The sequence below is a fragment of the Homo sapiens genome, chromosome 1 (assembly GCF_000001405.40).
Source record: "Homo sapiens chromosome 1, GRCh38.p14 Primary Assembly".
NCBI classification, from domain to species: Eukaryota; Metazoa; Chordata; class Mammalia; order Primates; family Hominidae; genus Homo; species Homo sapiens.
In genome coordinates this window covers 147,062,052-147,077,877 of record NC_000001.11, presented here as the reverse complement: position 1 = coordinate 147,077,877, position 15,826 = coordinate 147,062,052, and the positions used below count along the sequence as shown (strand labels likewise).

At 43.9% G+C, this 15,826-nt stretch overlaps 1 non-coding gene across 1 annotated transcript, besides 1 other annotated feature; it reads right to left on the bottom strand.

The window, feature by feature from the left end:
- Nucleotides 846-1,046: a silencer, noted in NCBI's record as "peak400 fragment used in MPRA reporter construct". NCBI's record gives its function as "represses an SCP1 promoter by STARR-seq MPRAs in K562 erythroleukemia cells {active_cell/tissue: K562}" and the evidence as "EXISTENCE:reporter gene assay evidence [ECO:0000049][PMID:32103011]".
- On the bottom strand, nucleotides 4,582-4,653 carry TRH-GTG1-2 (tRNA-His (anticodon GTG) 1-2). Its single transcript has one exon. It is a non-coding gene; the product is annotated as a tRNA-His (tRNA).
- Between the last annotated feature and the right edge of the window lie 11,173 nt (nucleotides 4,654-15,826).

Sequence of the window (15,826 nt, the reverse complement as noted above, 5' to 3'; positions counted from 1 at the left end):
GGGGTGGGGGAGGGGCCCTTCGGTGGATTGTAAGGTGTTTAGCCGCATCCCTCGCCTCCGCTGACTAGATAGATGACAGGGGGTTAACATTCTCCCTCCCCGCTTCCCCCAGTCGTGGCCTAATGTCCCAGCGGGGATGGGGGAGGCGTGTGAGGACGAAGTTGCCCCTTGTCTAGAATTCGTGCGCCTAGTCCTGCTCTCTGAGCTTGTGCAGAGGACTCTCCAGATGAAGACTCAGGGGTCGATCCAGCTCAAGACCCCCTCCCTCCCCGGCACAGTCGGACCTTAGGATTTGAGGCTTTTAACATCTCGACATCATGAGTTTCTACCTTTAGGTCTTTCCTTCTGTTCTGTCCTCCAAATCGGCCTCTTCTGAGCCTGTTGACCAGGGCCAGCCAGGTAGAAGGCTGGGTTCGCTCACCGAGGATCCTCTCGCCCCTCCTGGAGCATCAGGCCTCTTTCGGTTTGGCCTGTAGAGAAGCCTTAGGGGCCACTTCGTTCGGCATCGTAGGGGGCAGGTGGGAGGCGCGCGGGGAAGAGGAGGGTGTGACTGTGGTTCCCGACCCCCGGCGCCCAACCTCCACCCCGGTGCGCGCGCCCTTCCCGGCTCCTGCTGGTCCCACTCGCCCCGAGGTAGGTCTCCGGTCAGCCTAAGCTCCCAAGAAGCCCAGGCCCAAAAGGACAGGTAGGGAAAACAAGCTGCTCATTTCGGTCCTGTCCGGAAGGGACTCCTTTCTGACCGGAAAGAAAGGCGGCGAGTCCTGTCCCGTTGGGTTAGCGGAAGAGAGATCAAAGGGAAGAGAAGAAAAATCCTGTGAGGTTTCAGGATCTAAAGTTACCATGAAGTCGACCTCACCTCCTCTGAAGGTCCTCCCGGTCCTCCAGTGGCTGGAGAAGGTGAGTCGAGTCCCTGTCTCCAGTTTGCAAAGTGGACAAAGCCTACGACAATGGGCCCCGAATCAGCTACTAGGCATCCCTGTCTTTCCAGTTGGTGGTACTCGAGCTTCCCTACCCAGGATTTCTGTGGATTCCAAGGGTACAACTGAACACCTTTTGTCGTTCCAACTGCTCTTATTTGAATTAAGGGCTGATCTGTTGAGAAGCATATATTCGGTAAGACTATAGCAACTGTTGTTGAGACTGTCCCATTCTTCCTCCTCCTCCCTCTTCCTATAATGTACAATGAAAATTAATCCCCACGACGGGCCTGTTATTTCAATGTCCTGTTGGCAGAACCTAAGGGGAGTCTAGGAGGTTCCAGGATAAATATTTGAAGTATGACACAGTCATTTTTATTTACACATGCATTCCAAAAACACATTGGACAAATGCATCCAGTTCACCTGTGCCACACTTACAAAGATATGAAAAGAGGGTCTACACACAAACAAGCGAAAGACGTAATCGAATGGCTTTTAAATATCTGCTGTTTCTACTGAAAGTCTTCTTCTCTGGCTACACCTACCAGTGTCTTCTCTTTCTCCAAAATCAGACATTCAAGTGCCAGACCCTGAAATCAGTTTTTTGGTACCAGCTTATTCTTCCCCATTCTGTATCCCTTCCTTTCCACTCTCTTCTTTCATATGCAGGAAAGGTCAGCTCTCCCTCAGTTTCTAATTTGCAACACCCCACTCGAAGAACTCAACAACCAGCATCAAAAATTAGACACCCTCCATGGGACTCCATCTATGTTTTAGTTGGAGCTTCTATAACAATGTACCATAAACTGGGTGGCTCATCCACAGCAGACATTTCTCACAGTTCTGGAGTTTGGAAGTCTAAGATCAAGGTGCCAGCATGGTAGGGTTATGGTGAGGAACCTCTTCCTGGTCATAGACTGCCATCTTCCCATTGTATCTGCGGGTGGCTGAAAGAGGGGGAGAGAGCTCTCTAGTGTCCCTTTTATAGGGGCACTAATCCCACTCAGGAGGACTCCACTCTCTGGATCTAATTACCTCCCAAAGGCCCCTCCTCCTAATTTTAACACTTTCCAGGTGTGGGTGGAGGAAGGTTAGAGTTTCAACCAAGGCATTTTGGGGGGACACAAACATTAGGTGTCCTGTGATCTTTCTAGAAGAAGAAGAAATTATGAATGACCCAAAGCTTTGTACATTTCACAGTTAGAAATAAAGAAAACTTTTCCTACAATTTTGAAAGGCCTGAAATGTGAGCTTCCTCCCCATCAACCCCACCACCAAAATCTGGACTCTGTGCTGAGTGTTGTGGACTTTTTGCATGTTCATCCTCCCTGCAGACAACTGGAGATTTATTCTCTTCAGAGGGTAGAGGAGAGGATCCTTGGCCCCAGGAGGGCAATCAGCATAGGTGAGCGAGGACATGTGTCCCATACTGAAATGAGAGAGATGAAGTGACAGCATACCTTGATCTATGTGATGGTTACATGAGTTATGACCTATTTCAAAGGTTATTATGCTGTGTGAAAAAGAACAAAACCAGAGGACTTGCACAACCTGAATTTCAGACTCACTCTAAGCTGTTACAGACAAGGCCGTGTGCATGCGGCATTGGGAGACACAAATACATCAACAGACTGCCTTGGGAGACCCAAAACTCACCCACAGCTATATGGTCCATAGGTTTTTTGTTTGTTTGTTAATTTTGTTTTGTTTTCTGAGAAAGGGTCTCACTGTGCTTCCCAGGCTGAAGTGATCCTCCTGCCTCAGCCTCCTAGGTAGCTCATACTACAGGCGCGTTTTAGTAGACATGAGGTTTCGCCATGTTGTCCCGACTGATCTCCAACTCCTGGGCTCAAGTGACTCACCAGCCTCAGCCTCTCACTGTGCTGGGATTATAGGTGTAAGCACCATGCCCGACCATAGGTTTTCAATAAAAGCAGTTCAATGGGGCAAAGGAAATAGTTTCAACTAATGGACTTTCATATGGGGGAAGAGGGAGACCAACAAGGTTATTTCTTCCTCACACTACACTCGAAAGTAACTTAAGGAACATTATAGACCAAAACTTAAAAGTTAAAGGTATAAAGCATTTCGAGGATACTTGTGACTTGTTGGTAGATGAGATTTATTAAACAGGGCACCGAAGAACACATGTAAAAGGGAAAGACTTGATAAATTCGATTTCATGAACATTAGCCATATCTTCTCATCAAAAGACGCCATAAAGAAAATGAAGAAACAAGCCAGCCTCAGATGAGGAGAAAATAGTCACAAAACCTATCTGACCTCCAAACTCTGTGGTGAGATCTTCCTAACTGGTAATTAAAAAAAAAAAAAAAAAAACCCAAATGTGCTAGATGGGTAAAAGACTTGAACAGATACTTTAAAATAAAAGGTACACACATGGTCAACAAAGCACATAAAAGAGCGCTCAATATGATTAGCTATCAGGAAAATTGAAATTAAAACCACATCGAGACACCACTATAACTCCCAGTAGCATGGCTAAATTTATAAGGAGAGGAAACACCCAATCTTGGAGAAGATGAAGAACAACCACAACTCTCACACGTCATTGGTGGAAATGTAAAATGGCACAACTACTTTGGGACAAGTTTTTGCAGTTTTTATGAACTTGAACATATCCCACTCTTTGGTACCCGCAATTCGGCACCTAGGTTTTCCCCAAGGGACACGAAAACAGATGCCCTCAAAATCTGTTGTGGGAAGAATGTTCAAAGCAGGCTTATTCAGAATAGCCAATACCGGTTTATTCAGAATAGCCAATACCCAAACACTCATTATCAGGGTAGGGATGGGGTGGGAATGGCAAACAACCTGTGCTATTTCCCTGTAATGGAATACTACTCAGCAATGAAAGAGGAATGAACTTCTGCTTCCACTAAGCAATGGATAGAGCCAGAGACATTATGCAGAGAGAAAGAAGCATGTAGAACAGAGTAGATGCACCATGATTCCATCTGCATGAAGTTCTAGAAGCAAAGGTAAAGTGAAAACAATCAGGAGAGTGATTGTTCACAAATAAGGCAGAAGACAATGACAATGATTTTTATAATTCTAGTGATTATGTTATTGATTGAATAGTCACTAAATCCAGGCATGTCTGACAACAGCAGTGTAAGGCAGAGTTCTCAAAGTGGCCCAACCTTCCATAGAAAATTGTTGAGGCACATAAAATTTAAGATAGTTAACCAAGGTCAGGCAAGGGCCGACGTAGATTTCCAAAACAGAACCTGGGTTCTTGGACATAGATTAGACTGGACCTGCCCACTTCTCTGTTTCAGGTGTCTCTGGGACTCTCAGCTGCACCAGAGGAGAGAGAGAAGGACAGAGAAAGAGACCAAGGGAGAGAGGAGTAGGGAAGAAATGGAGGGAGGCGCAGGGCCCCTAGCTGTCGAAGAGCAGAGAAGTAACTCTTGCCAGTGTGTTTACACTATAGAGAAGTTTTCTGGGGATCAAGACATTAGCAGATGCTAAGCTTGCTCTGGTCAGGAGATGAATTTGATATGCCATAGATTTAGAAATTGAAACGGAACCCTAAAGTTATTGGAAGAGACTGTAGCTGAATACATTTCTGCCTTACCCTGACGCGCCTGGTTGCGGGGAGCAAAACGGATCAGCTGACTACCCAGACGAGCAACTTTGCCGTGACTCGGATTCGAACCGAGGTTGCTGCGGCCACAACGCAGAGTACTAACCACTATACGATCACGGCGGGCCACAAGGCAAGCGGTGATGCTTGACCTTGCTCTAGCAGTTTTGACGTCAATAGGTTTCCATTATTAGGCGGCTTTGTTCCCAGACAGCCACAGGGGGTTCACGTTTTTCTCCCTTTCATGCCCGCTTTGCTTTCGCCTCCCTCCCTCCCTCCCAATCCTAATACAGGTTGAGAATAATTCTCATCTCCTCCACTGCAGCCTGGGCCTCCCTGCACCAGCCTCGGTCTCCCTGCACCAGCCTTTCTCAGGAGGTCTCTCTGTCCTGGTCCGCACCTCCTCTGCTTCTCTCCCGCCTCTCTGTATTTCTGCTTTTCACCCTTTCTCTCTCCCGCCGCACCGACCGAAGCCGAGTTGAGCTAGGGGAGCCCAAGCGGCGTAGAAAGTCGGGTGAAGGCGGAGCCAAGAACGGAAAGAGCCATCACTAGAGTCCACGGGGCGTTCTGCTTCCTTTGGGAAGTCGCGGACCCGGGCGTTTCCCGGGACGCTGGCTCTGACGCCTGCGAAGGGCAGGACGGGGCTAAGGCCATTCCGCTGCCCTTCCAGCTTTGGAATCACCCAATGCACGGGTTTCAACCGTAGCCAGCAAGATGCGCCTCTCCGGTTTTCTGAGGCTTTGGAGCCTGCACAATTGTTCTACAAAAGGCGGTGGCTCTGCCTAGTGTTGGATGGGCGCGTGCTCTGCATGGTGAGGCGGGAGCGACAGTTGACTGTCCATTCGTGTGTCGCAGTCGGGTGGTGTGCTTGCTTCCAAGTTTGGAGGTCAGTGGTTCGAACCCGTTCGCTCTCTCTCTCTCTCAAAAAAAAAAAAAAAAGTAAGAATGGTATTTCTTAGGTTTTCTTCTAGGATTTTTCTACTTTGAGGTTCCCATATGTATTGTTTCATTGCAGGTGACAACCAACCAGAGATTAATCATTACAAGCCAAGAAAGGGAATTTATTGTTTGCCAGGAAAATCATCTAACACAAAAAAATTAGCAAAGGAGATTCCTGAGTGTCCCTTTCTGTAAAGCATGCGGGATTGTTCTCTGCAGAGTTCAGTAAACATTTTTCTGTAAAGGGCTAGAGAGATCTATTAAATATTGTAGGCTTTTAAGCCAAGAGGCAAAACCGAGGGTATTATGTAGGTGCACATGTAACCAATGAGAAAACAAATTTCTATACCATTTTCGTTGATGAGATCCTAAATTAACAATAGTAACTGAGTAGAACCTCTCAGGTTGTAAATGTTCTTTGCATTGAGAGCCTAGATCTGCCCACCTAGGCTCTCTGGTACAGCCCTCCCTTCCCTCCCCACAGGACATTTTCTCCCTGCTTCCCTCAGATGAAGAGTTCCATACAAAAGACCTACTCCCCTGAGAAGTAGTGAAGTGCTCCTGGGGCCCACCAAGGCCACACAAATCAAGGAGTGGGTGACCTCACCCTGGCTTCAGCTCAGAGCTGATTTTGAGATCACCTTTGCAAAACGACATCGTGCTGGGAGATGTCATCAGGACAAGACCATAGATGTGGCTGTCAAAGGAGGTGAGAAGAGAGATGTCCAGGGGGAGAAGTGGCCAAACACCAACACCTCTGCATCCAACCTCACAAAAGACTCAAAGAGATGCAGAAACGGAGATGGGGGAATGGAAACCTCTTTCAAGCTAGGCTTTGAGGCCTGGTACTGATCTCTCTTCTTCCTCCTGCAACCTACAGCACCTGCAGTTTTCTCACCTCAGTTGATGGAAACTCCATCCTTACGTACACTCAATCCAGAAATCTTAGAGTTTTCTTTGACTGCTGATCTGTCTCTCACCCCATATAGCTGATTAGCCAAGAACTCAAGTTATCTTGAACTGTCAGGTGTGGACCTTAATCCACACCACCCTTTTCTCCCTAGTTTAGGAAATTTGGCAAGTCATTTCTCCCAATAAAGACAATAGGATTTCCTTGAAATTGCATGATTTCAGTCCTTCCTAGATTCATGACTCACTTAAGAGCACTGTTTTGTTTGCTACCATTTTCCCCTATTTTTATTTCATACCTGTTTGATCTGCACTCTTTCCTATATGGCAGGCAAACCAGTTCAGGTGTGCTTTCCTAATCATAGAATTAGCAATAATAGCAGCCTTGGTAACAACTTATTTCTGGCTGCACCACCAGGCAAATGTCACAGGACTTAATAGGTAGAGGATCTTAGGATCATCTGTATTGCTTGATGTTATAGACTGAAGTGTTTCCCTGTGAGTTCATATGTTGAAAACTTAACCGCCAAGTTGACTGTATTTTGAGATAGGGTTTTTAATGTGGTAATTAATGTTAATGAGGTCATACAAGTGGGCCCCTAATCTGGTGGGAATGGTGTCCATATAGGAGGAGGAAGGGCATCAAAGAATCTCTTTCTCCACGCAGGCACAGAGGAAAGACTATGGGAGGACACAGCAAGAAAGTGGCTTTCTGCAAGCCAGGAAGAGAGGCCTCCCCAGAAACCAACCCTGCTAGCACATCCAACCTCACAAAAGACTCAAGAAGAACTTCTGGCCTCCAGAACTTTGAGAAAATGTCTATTGTTAAGCCACGAAAACTTTGTTATCTTTCTGTGGCAGCCTGAGCTGACTAATACCTTTGGTAGGTGGGCGGCATTCACCTAATTGGGCTATATGATGTGAAGTTAAAGTACCTTTAGCAATAGGCACCATCTAATTTCGTTGTATAGATATTGTGTCTTTTGCATTGATATTGCCTCTCTTAGTTGTATGTATATTGATGCATGAGGCTAGGATTACAAGACTAGTCAAAATAGGAAGAAAGAAGAGAAAGGTGGTGAAGATATGAAGTTCCATAATTGCATCCTCTACCCACATCCTGTTCTTAGAATATTTTCCACTGGAGGCTGCACCTGTATACCCTCAAATTCAATCTGAGCACACAATTATTTATACAAGCAAGGCAACTTTTCCAATTTTGCCTATCACCTGCTTGGAGAAACAAGTACTTCAATCACCAATTTGAATATTCATTGAGATAATTGTTAGGAGGTTGATAAAAAATGTGGCATCTCCCTGTATTGTTGCCTTCTCCTGGGCCAACAATGCCGTCTGTACTCTGCTGGTCTGCATTTGACCACAAACTGGAGTTGCAGCAAATCTTAGCCTCTTGGGAAGCCTATTTTTTTTAATTTTATTATTATTATATTTTAAATTTTAGGGTACATGTGCACAATGTGCAGGTTTGTTACATATGTATATGTGTGCCATGTTGGTGTGCTGCACCCATTAACTCGTCATTTAGCATTACATATATCTCCTAATGCTATCCCTCCTGCTTCCCCCCACCTCACAACAGTCCCCGAAGCGTGATGTTCCCCTTCCTGTGTCCATGTGTTCCCATTGTTCAATTCCCACCTATGAGTGAGAACATGTGGTGTTTGGTTTTTTGTCCTTGCGATAGTTTGCTGAGAATGATGGTTTCCAGTTTCATACATGTCCCTACAAAGGACATGAACTCTTCACTTTTTATGGCTGCATAGTATTTCATGGTGTATATATGCCACACTTTCTTAATCCAGTCTATCATTGTTGGACATTTGGGTTGGTTCCAAGTCTTTGCTATTGTGAATAGTGCCACAATAAACATACGTGTGCATGTGTCTTTATAGCAGCATGATTTATAATCCTTTGGGTATATACCCAGTAATGGGATGGCTGGGTCAAATGGTATTTCTAGTTCTAGATCCCTGAGGAATCGCCACACTGACTTCCACAATGGTTGAACTAGTTTACAGTCCCATCAACAGTGTAAAAGTGATTCTATTTCTCCACTTCCTCTCCAGCACCTGTTGTTTCCTGACTTTTTAATGATCGCCATCCTAACTGGTGTGAGATGGTATCTCATTGTGATTTTGATTTGCATTTCTCTGATGGCCAGTGATGATGAGCATTTTTTCATGTGTTTTTCGGCTGCATAAATGTCTTCTTTTGAGAAGTGTCTGTTCATATCCTTCACCCACTTTTTGATGGGGTTGTTTTTTTCTTGTAAATTTGTTTGAGTTCATTGTAGATTCTGGATATTAGCCCTTTGTCAGATGAGTAGTTTGCAAAAATTTTCTCCCATTCTGTAGGTTTCCTGTTCACTCTGATGGTAGTTTCTTTTGCTGTGCAGAAGCTCTTTAGCTTAATTAAATCCCATTTGTCAATTTTGGCTTTTGTTGCCATGGCTTTTGGTGTTTTAGACATGAAGTCCTTGCCCATGCCTATGTCCTGAATGGTATTGCCTAGGTTTTCTTCTAGGTTTTTTATGGTTTTAGGTCTAACATGTAAGTCTTTAATCCATCTTGAGTTAACTTTTGTATAAGGTGTAAGGAAGGGATCCAGTTTCAGCTTTGTACATATGGCTAGCCAGTTTTCCCAGCACCATTTATTAAATAGGGAATCCTTTCCCCATTTCTTGTTTTTCTCAGGTTTGTCAAAGATCAGATGGTTGTAGATATGCGGCATTATTTCTGAGGGCTCTGTTCTGTTCCATTGATCTATATGTCTGTTTTGGTACCAGTACCATTCTGTTTTGGTTACTGTAGCCTTGTAGTATAGTTTGAAGTCAGGTAGCGTGACGCCTCTGGCTTTGTTCTTTTTGCTTAGGATTGACTTGGCAATGCAGGCTCTTTTTTGGTTCCATGTGAACTTTAAAGTAGTTTTTCCCAATTCTGTGAAGAAAGCCATTGGTAGCTTGATGGGGATGACATTGAATCTATAAATTACCTTGGGCAGTATGGCCATTTTCACGATATTGATTCTTCCTACCCATGAGCATGGAATGTTCTTCCATTTGTTTGTATCCTCTTTTATTTCCTTGAGCAATGGTTTGTAGTTCTCCTTGAAGAGGTCCTTCACATCCCTTGTAAGTTGGATTCCTAGGTATTTTATTCTCTTTGAAGCAATTGTGAATGGGAGTTCACTCATGATTTGGGTCTCTGTTTGTCTGTTATTGGTGTATAAGAATGCTTGTGATTTTTGTACATTGATTTTGTATCCTAAGACTTTGCTGAAGTTGCTTATCAGCTTAAGGAGATTTTGGGCTGAGACAATGGGGTTTTCTAGATATACAATCATGTCATGTGCAAACAGGGACAATTTGACTTCCTCTTTTCCTAATTGAATACCCTTTATTTCCTTCTCCTGCCTAATTGCCCTGGCCAGAACTTCCAACACTATGTTGAATAGCAGTGGTGACAGAGGACATCCCTGTCTTGTGCCAGTTTTCAAAGGGAATACTTCCAGTTTTTGCCCATTCAGTATGATATTGGCTGTGGGTTTGTCATAGATAGCTCTTATTATTTTGAGATACGTCCCATCAATACCTAATTTATTGAGAGTTTTTAGCATGAAGGGTTGTTGAATTTTGTCAAAGGCTTTTTCTGCATCTATTGAGATAATCATGTGGTTTTTGTCTTTGGCTCTGTTTATATGCTGGATTACATTTATTGATTTGCGTATGTTGAACCAGCATTGCATCCCAGGGATGAAGCCCGCTTGATCATGGTGGATAAGCTTTTTGATGTGCTGCTGGATTCAGTTTGCCAGTATTTTATTGAGGATTTTTTCATCAATGTTCATCAAGGATATTGGTCTAAAATTCTCTATTTTTGTTGTGTCTCTGCCAGGCCTTCGTATCAGGATGATGCTGGCCTCATAAAATGAGTTAGGGAGGATTCCCTCTTTTTCTGTTGATTGGAATAGTTTCAGAAGGAATGGTACCAGTTCCTCCTTGTACCTCTGGTAGAATTCGGCTGTGAATCCATCTGGTCCTGGACTTTTTTTGGTTGGTAAGCTATTGATTATTGCCACAATTTCAGATCCTGTTATTGGTCTATTCAGAGATTCAACTTCTTCCTGGTTTAGTCTTGGGAGGGTGTATGTGTTGAGGAATTTATCCATTTCTTCTAGATTTTCTAGTTTATTTGCATAGAGGTGTTTGTAGTATTCTCTGATGGTAGTTTGTATTTCTGTGGGATTGGTGGTGATATCCCCTTTATCATTTTTTATTGCATCTATTTGATTCCTCTCTCTTTTCTTCTTTACTAGTCTTGCTAGCAGTCTATCGATTTTGTTGATCTTTTCAAAAAACCAGCTCCTGGATTCATTAATTTTTTGAAGGGTTTTTTGTGTCTCAATTTCCTTCAGTTCTGCTCTGATTTTAGTTATTTCTTGCCTTCTGCTAGCTTTTGAATGTGTTTGCTCTTGCTTTTCTAGTTCTTTTAATTGTGATGTTAGGGTGTCAATTTTGGATCTTTCCTGCTTTCTCTTGTGGGCATTTAGTGCTATAAATTTCCCTCTACACACTGCTTTGAATGTGTCCCAGAGATTCTGGTATGTTGTGTCTTTGTTCTCGTTGGTTTCAAAGAACATCTTTATTTCTGCCTTCATTTTGTTAAGTACCCAGTAGTCATTCAGGAGCAGGTTGTTCAGTTTCCATGTAGTTGAGCGGTTTTGAGTGGGTTTCTTAATCCTGAGTTATAGTTTGATTGCACTGTGGTCTGAGAAACAGTTTGTTATAATTTCTCTTCTTTTACATTTGCTGAGGAGAGCTTTACTTCCTACTATGTGGTCAATTTTGGAATAGGTGTGGTGTGGTGCTAAAAAAATGTATATTCTGTTGATTTGGGGTGGAGAGTTCTGTAGATGTCTATTAGGTCTGCTTGGTGCAGAGCTGAGTTCAATTCCCGGGTATCCTTGTTAACTTTCTGTCTCATTGATCTGTCTAATGTTGACAGTGGGGTGTTAAAGTCTCCTATTTTATTGTGTGGGAGTCTAAGTCTCTTTGTAGGTCACTATGGACTTTCTTTATGAATCTGGGTGCTCCTGTATTGGGTGCATATATATTTAGGATAGTTAGGTCTTCTTGTTGAATTAATCCCTTTACCATTATTTAATGGTCTTCTTTGTCTCTTTTGATCTTTGTTGGTTTAAAGTCTGTTTTATCAGAGACTAGGATTGCAACCCCTGCCTTTTTTTGTTTTCCATTTGCTTGGTAGATCTTCCTCCATCCCTTTATTTTGAGCCTATGTGTGTCTCTGCATGTGAGAAGGGGTTCCTGAATACAGCACACTGAGGGGTCTTCACTCTTTATCCAATTTGCCAGTTTGTGTCTTTTAATTGTAGCATTTAGCCCATTTACATTTAAAGTTAATATTGTTACATGTGAATTTTGTCTGGTGATTATGATGTTAGCTCGTTATTTTGCTCGTTAGTTGATGCAGTTTCTTCCTAGCCTTGATGGTCTTTACATTTTGCCATGTTTTTGCAGTGGCTGGTACTGGTTGTTCCTTTCCATGTTTAGTGCTTCCTTCAGGAGCTCTTTTAGGGCAGGCCTGGTGGTGACAAAATCTCTCAGCATTTGCTTGTCTGTAAAGTATTTTATGTCTCCTTCACTTATGAAGCTTAGTTTGGCTGGATATGAAATTCTGGGTTGAAAATTATTTTCTTGAAGAATGTTGAATATTGGCTCCCACTCTCTTTGGCTTGTAGAGTTTCTCCCGAGAGATCCGCCGTTAGTCTGACGGGCTTCCCTTTGTGGGTAACCTGACCTTTCTCTCTGGCTGCCCTTAACATTTTTTCCTTCATTTCAACTTTGGTGAATCTGACAATTATGTGTCTTGGAGTTGCCCTTCTCGAGGAGTATCTTTGTGGCATTCTCTGTATTTCCTGAATCTGAATGTTGGCCTGCCTTGCTAGATTGGGGAAGTTCTCCTGGATAATATCCTGCAGAGTGTTTTCCAAAATGTTTCCATTCTCCCCGTCACTTTTAGGTACACCAATCAGACATAGATTTGGTCTTTTCACATAGTCCCATATTTCTGGGAGGCTTTGTTCATTTCTTTTTATTCTTTTTTCTCTAAACTTCCCTTCTCACTTCATTTCATTCATTTCATCTTGCGTCGCTGATACCCTTTCTTCCAGTTGATCACATTAGCTCCTGGGGCTTCTGCATTCTTCATGTAGTTCTGGAGCCTTGGCTTTCAGCTCCATCAGCTCCTTTAAGGACTTATCTGCATTGGTTATTCTAGTTATCCATTCGTCTAATTTTTTTTCACAGTTTTAAACTTGTTTGCCATTGGTTTGAATTTCCTCCTGTAGTTCAGAGTAGTTTGATCATTTGGAGCCTTCTCTCGACTCGTCAAAGTCATTCTCCATCCAGCTTTGTTCTGTTGCTGGTGAGGAGGTGCATTCCTTTGGAGGAGGAGAGGCACTCTGCTTTTTAGAGTTTCCAGTTTTTCTGTTCTGTTTTTTCCCCATCTTTGTGGTTTTATCTACTTTTGGTCTTTGATTATGGTGACATACAGAAGGGTTTTTGGTGTGGATGTCCTTTCCGTTTGTTAGTTTTCCTTCTAACAGACATGACCCTCAGCTGCAGGTCTGTTGGAGTTTGCTAGAGGTCCACTCCAGACCCTGTTTGCCTGGGTATCAGCAGCGGTGGCTGCAGAACAGCGGTGGCTGTAGAACAGTGGATCTTGGTGAACCACAAATGCTGCTGCCTGATCATTCCTCTGGAAGTTTTTTCTCAGAGGAGTACCTGGCCGTGTGAGGTGTCAGTCTGCCCCTACTGGGGGGTGCCTCCCAGTTAGGCTGCTCGGGGGTCAGGGACCCACTTGAGGAGGCAGTCTGCCCATTCTCAGATCTCCAGCTGTGTGCTGGGAGAACCACTACTCTCTTCAAAGCTGTCAGACAGGGACATTTAAGTCTGCAGGAGTTACTGCTGTCTTTATGTTTGTCTGTGCCCTGCCCCCAGAGGTGGAGCCTACAGAGGCAGGCAGGCCTCCTTGAGCTGTGGTGGGCTCCATCCAGTTCAAGCTTCCCAGTTGCTTTGTTTACCTAATCAAGCCTGGGCAATGGCAGGCGCCCCTCCCCCAGCCTTGTTGCTGCATTGCAGTTTGATCTCAGACTGCTGTGCTAGCAATCAGTGAGACTCTGTGGGTGTAGGACCCTCTGAGCCAGGTGCAGGATACAATCTCCTGGTGTGCCATTTTTTAAGCCCATTGGAAAAGCTCAGTATTAGGGTGGGAGTGACCCGATTTTCCAGGTGCCGTCTGTCACCCCTTTCTTTGACTAGGAAAGTGATCTCCCTGACCCCTTGCACTTCCCAAATGAGGCAGTGCCTCGCCCTGCTCCACCTCGTTCACAGTGTGCTGCACTCACTGTCCTACACCCACTGTCTGGCACTCCCTAGTGAGTTGAACCCAATACCTCAGATGGAAATGCAGAAATCACCCATCTTCTGTGACGCTCACGCTGGGAGCTGTAAACCGGAGCTGTTCCTATTTGGCTATCTTGGCTCCAGCCTCCGGGAAGCCTATTTTAAGATAGTCCCTATCTCAAACTTGTTTTAAGACTAGTATGCTTATTGAGAAGAGGTAGCCTCATTGTAAAAATTTAACTAGAGCTAGCGTGAACCCAGGTGGTGGAGCTTGCAGTGAGCCTAGATCACACCACTGTACTCCAGCCTGGGTGACAGAGTGAGACTCCATCTCAAAAAAAAAAAAAAAAAAATTTAACTAGAGCTGTGGGTGACAGTTATGAGTTTCAGTACGGGTCTGGGCCCAGGTTTCCCTTGAGCACCAAATGAATATGCTCCTTTGCAGGGATCTTCAAGGTGCTCATTATTTCTATCTCATAGCCTCAAAAAAAGTGATCAGCTAACAGAATTTGTGTACTATCCTGAAGAGAAATTAGTCTAGAAATAGAGAAGATAAAGAATTTATAAAATAGATTCTACAGTTGTTTACGACATAGAAAGCTGAAAGAGACAGTTGTTCCACTCTAATGACAAGAGAAAGCTGTCTGGTCTGCAAAATCATATTTGTTTTGATCCCACCAGAGAGGTGAAGTTTGAAGGCCACTAGATCAACTGAAGTCCAAAGCATGAGAACCCCCACCAAAGAAGGACAAACAAATGAAGCAGTTTCCTTCCAGATAATGGAAGAAAAATATGGCAGCCATAAATGTTGATTGGAGAAAATCACTGAAGTTTTCATCATTTCTTAAAGGTCAAGTGTGAACTATTGTGACAGAATCTATGTGAGTCCCAGATATGTAGCATGTTTTTGCCCATTTGCCAAGTTTTTTCCTCCCACATTTCCTGAGTGCTAACAAGAAACATGTCGCAGGGAAAGAGAATTTCTTTTTTTGTTTTGTTTTGTTTTTTGAAGATAATGTTTTTATTTTTTTTATTTTTTATTTTTTTATTTTTTTGTAAATGGAGAAGAATGGAAAGAGGGAGGGAGAGAAGAACGAAGGAAGGAAGGAAGGGAAAGGAGGAGAGAAGGTAATTGAGAGGGTTTTTAGTTGTCATGTCTTTTTATTTATTTTATTTATTTATTTATTTATTTTCATTATAGAGATACATCCTTTTATTTCTTATTTTAATCAAGCCCCTGTTAAGGATATGTTCATTCTTTCTTTTTTTTCTTTAATTTTTTTAGTATTTATTGATCATTCTTGGGTGTTTCTCGGAGAGGGGGATTTGGCAGGGTCATAGGACAATAGTGGAGGGAAGGTCAGCAGATAAACATGTGAACAAAGGTCTCTGGTTTTCCTAGGCAGAGGGCCCTGCCGCCTTCCACAGTGTTTGTGTCCCTGGGTACTTGAGATTAGGGAGTGGTGATGACTCTTAAGGAGCATGCTGCCTTCAAGCATCTGTTTAATAAAGCACATCTTGCACCTCCCTTAATCCATTTAACCCTTAGTGGACACAGCACATGTTTCAGAGAGCATGGGGTTGGGGGTAAGGTCACAGATCAACAGGATCCCAAGGCAGAAGAATTTTTCTTAGTACAGAACAAAATGGAGTCTCCTATGTCTACTTCTTTCTACACAGACACAGTGACAATCTGATCTCTCTTTCTTTTCCCCACATTTCCCCCTTTTCTATTCGACAAAACCGCCATCGTCATCATGGCCCTTTCTCAATGAGTTATTGGGTACACCTCCCAGATGGGGTGGCGGTGGGGCAGAGGGGCTCCTCACTTCCCAGACGGGGCGGCCAGGCAGAGGTGCCCCCCACCTCCCAGACGCCACAGCTGGCCGGGCGGGGGCTGCCCCCCACCTCCCGGACGGGGCGGCTGGCAGGGCGGAGACACTCCTCACTTCCCAGACGGGGCAGCTGCCAGGTGGAGGGGCTCCTCACTTCTCAGACGGGGTG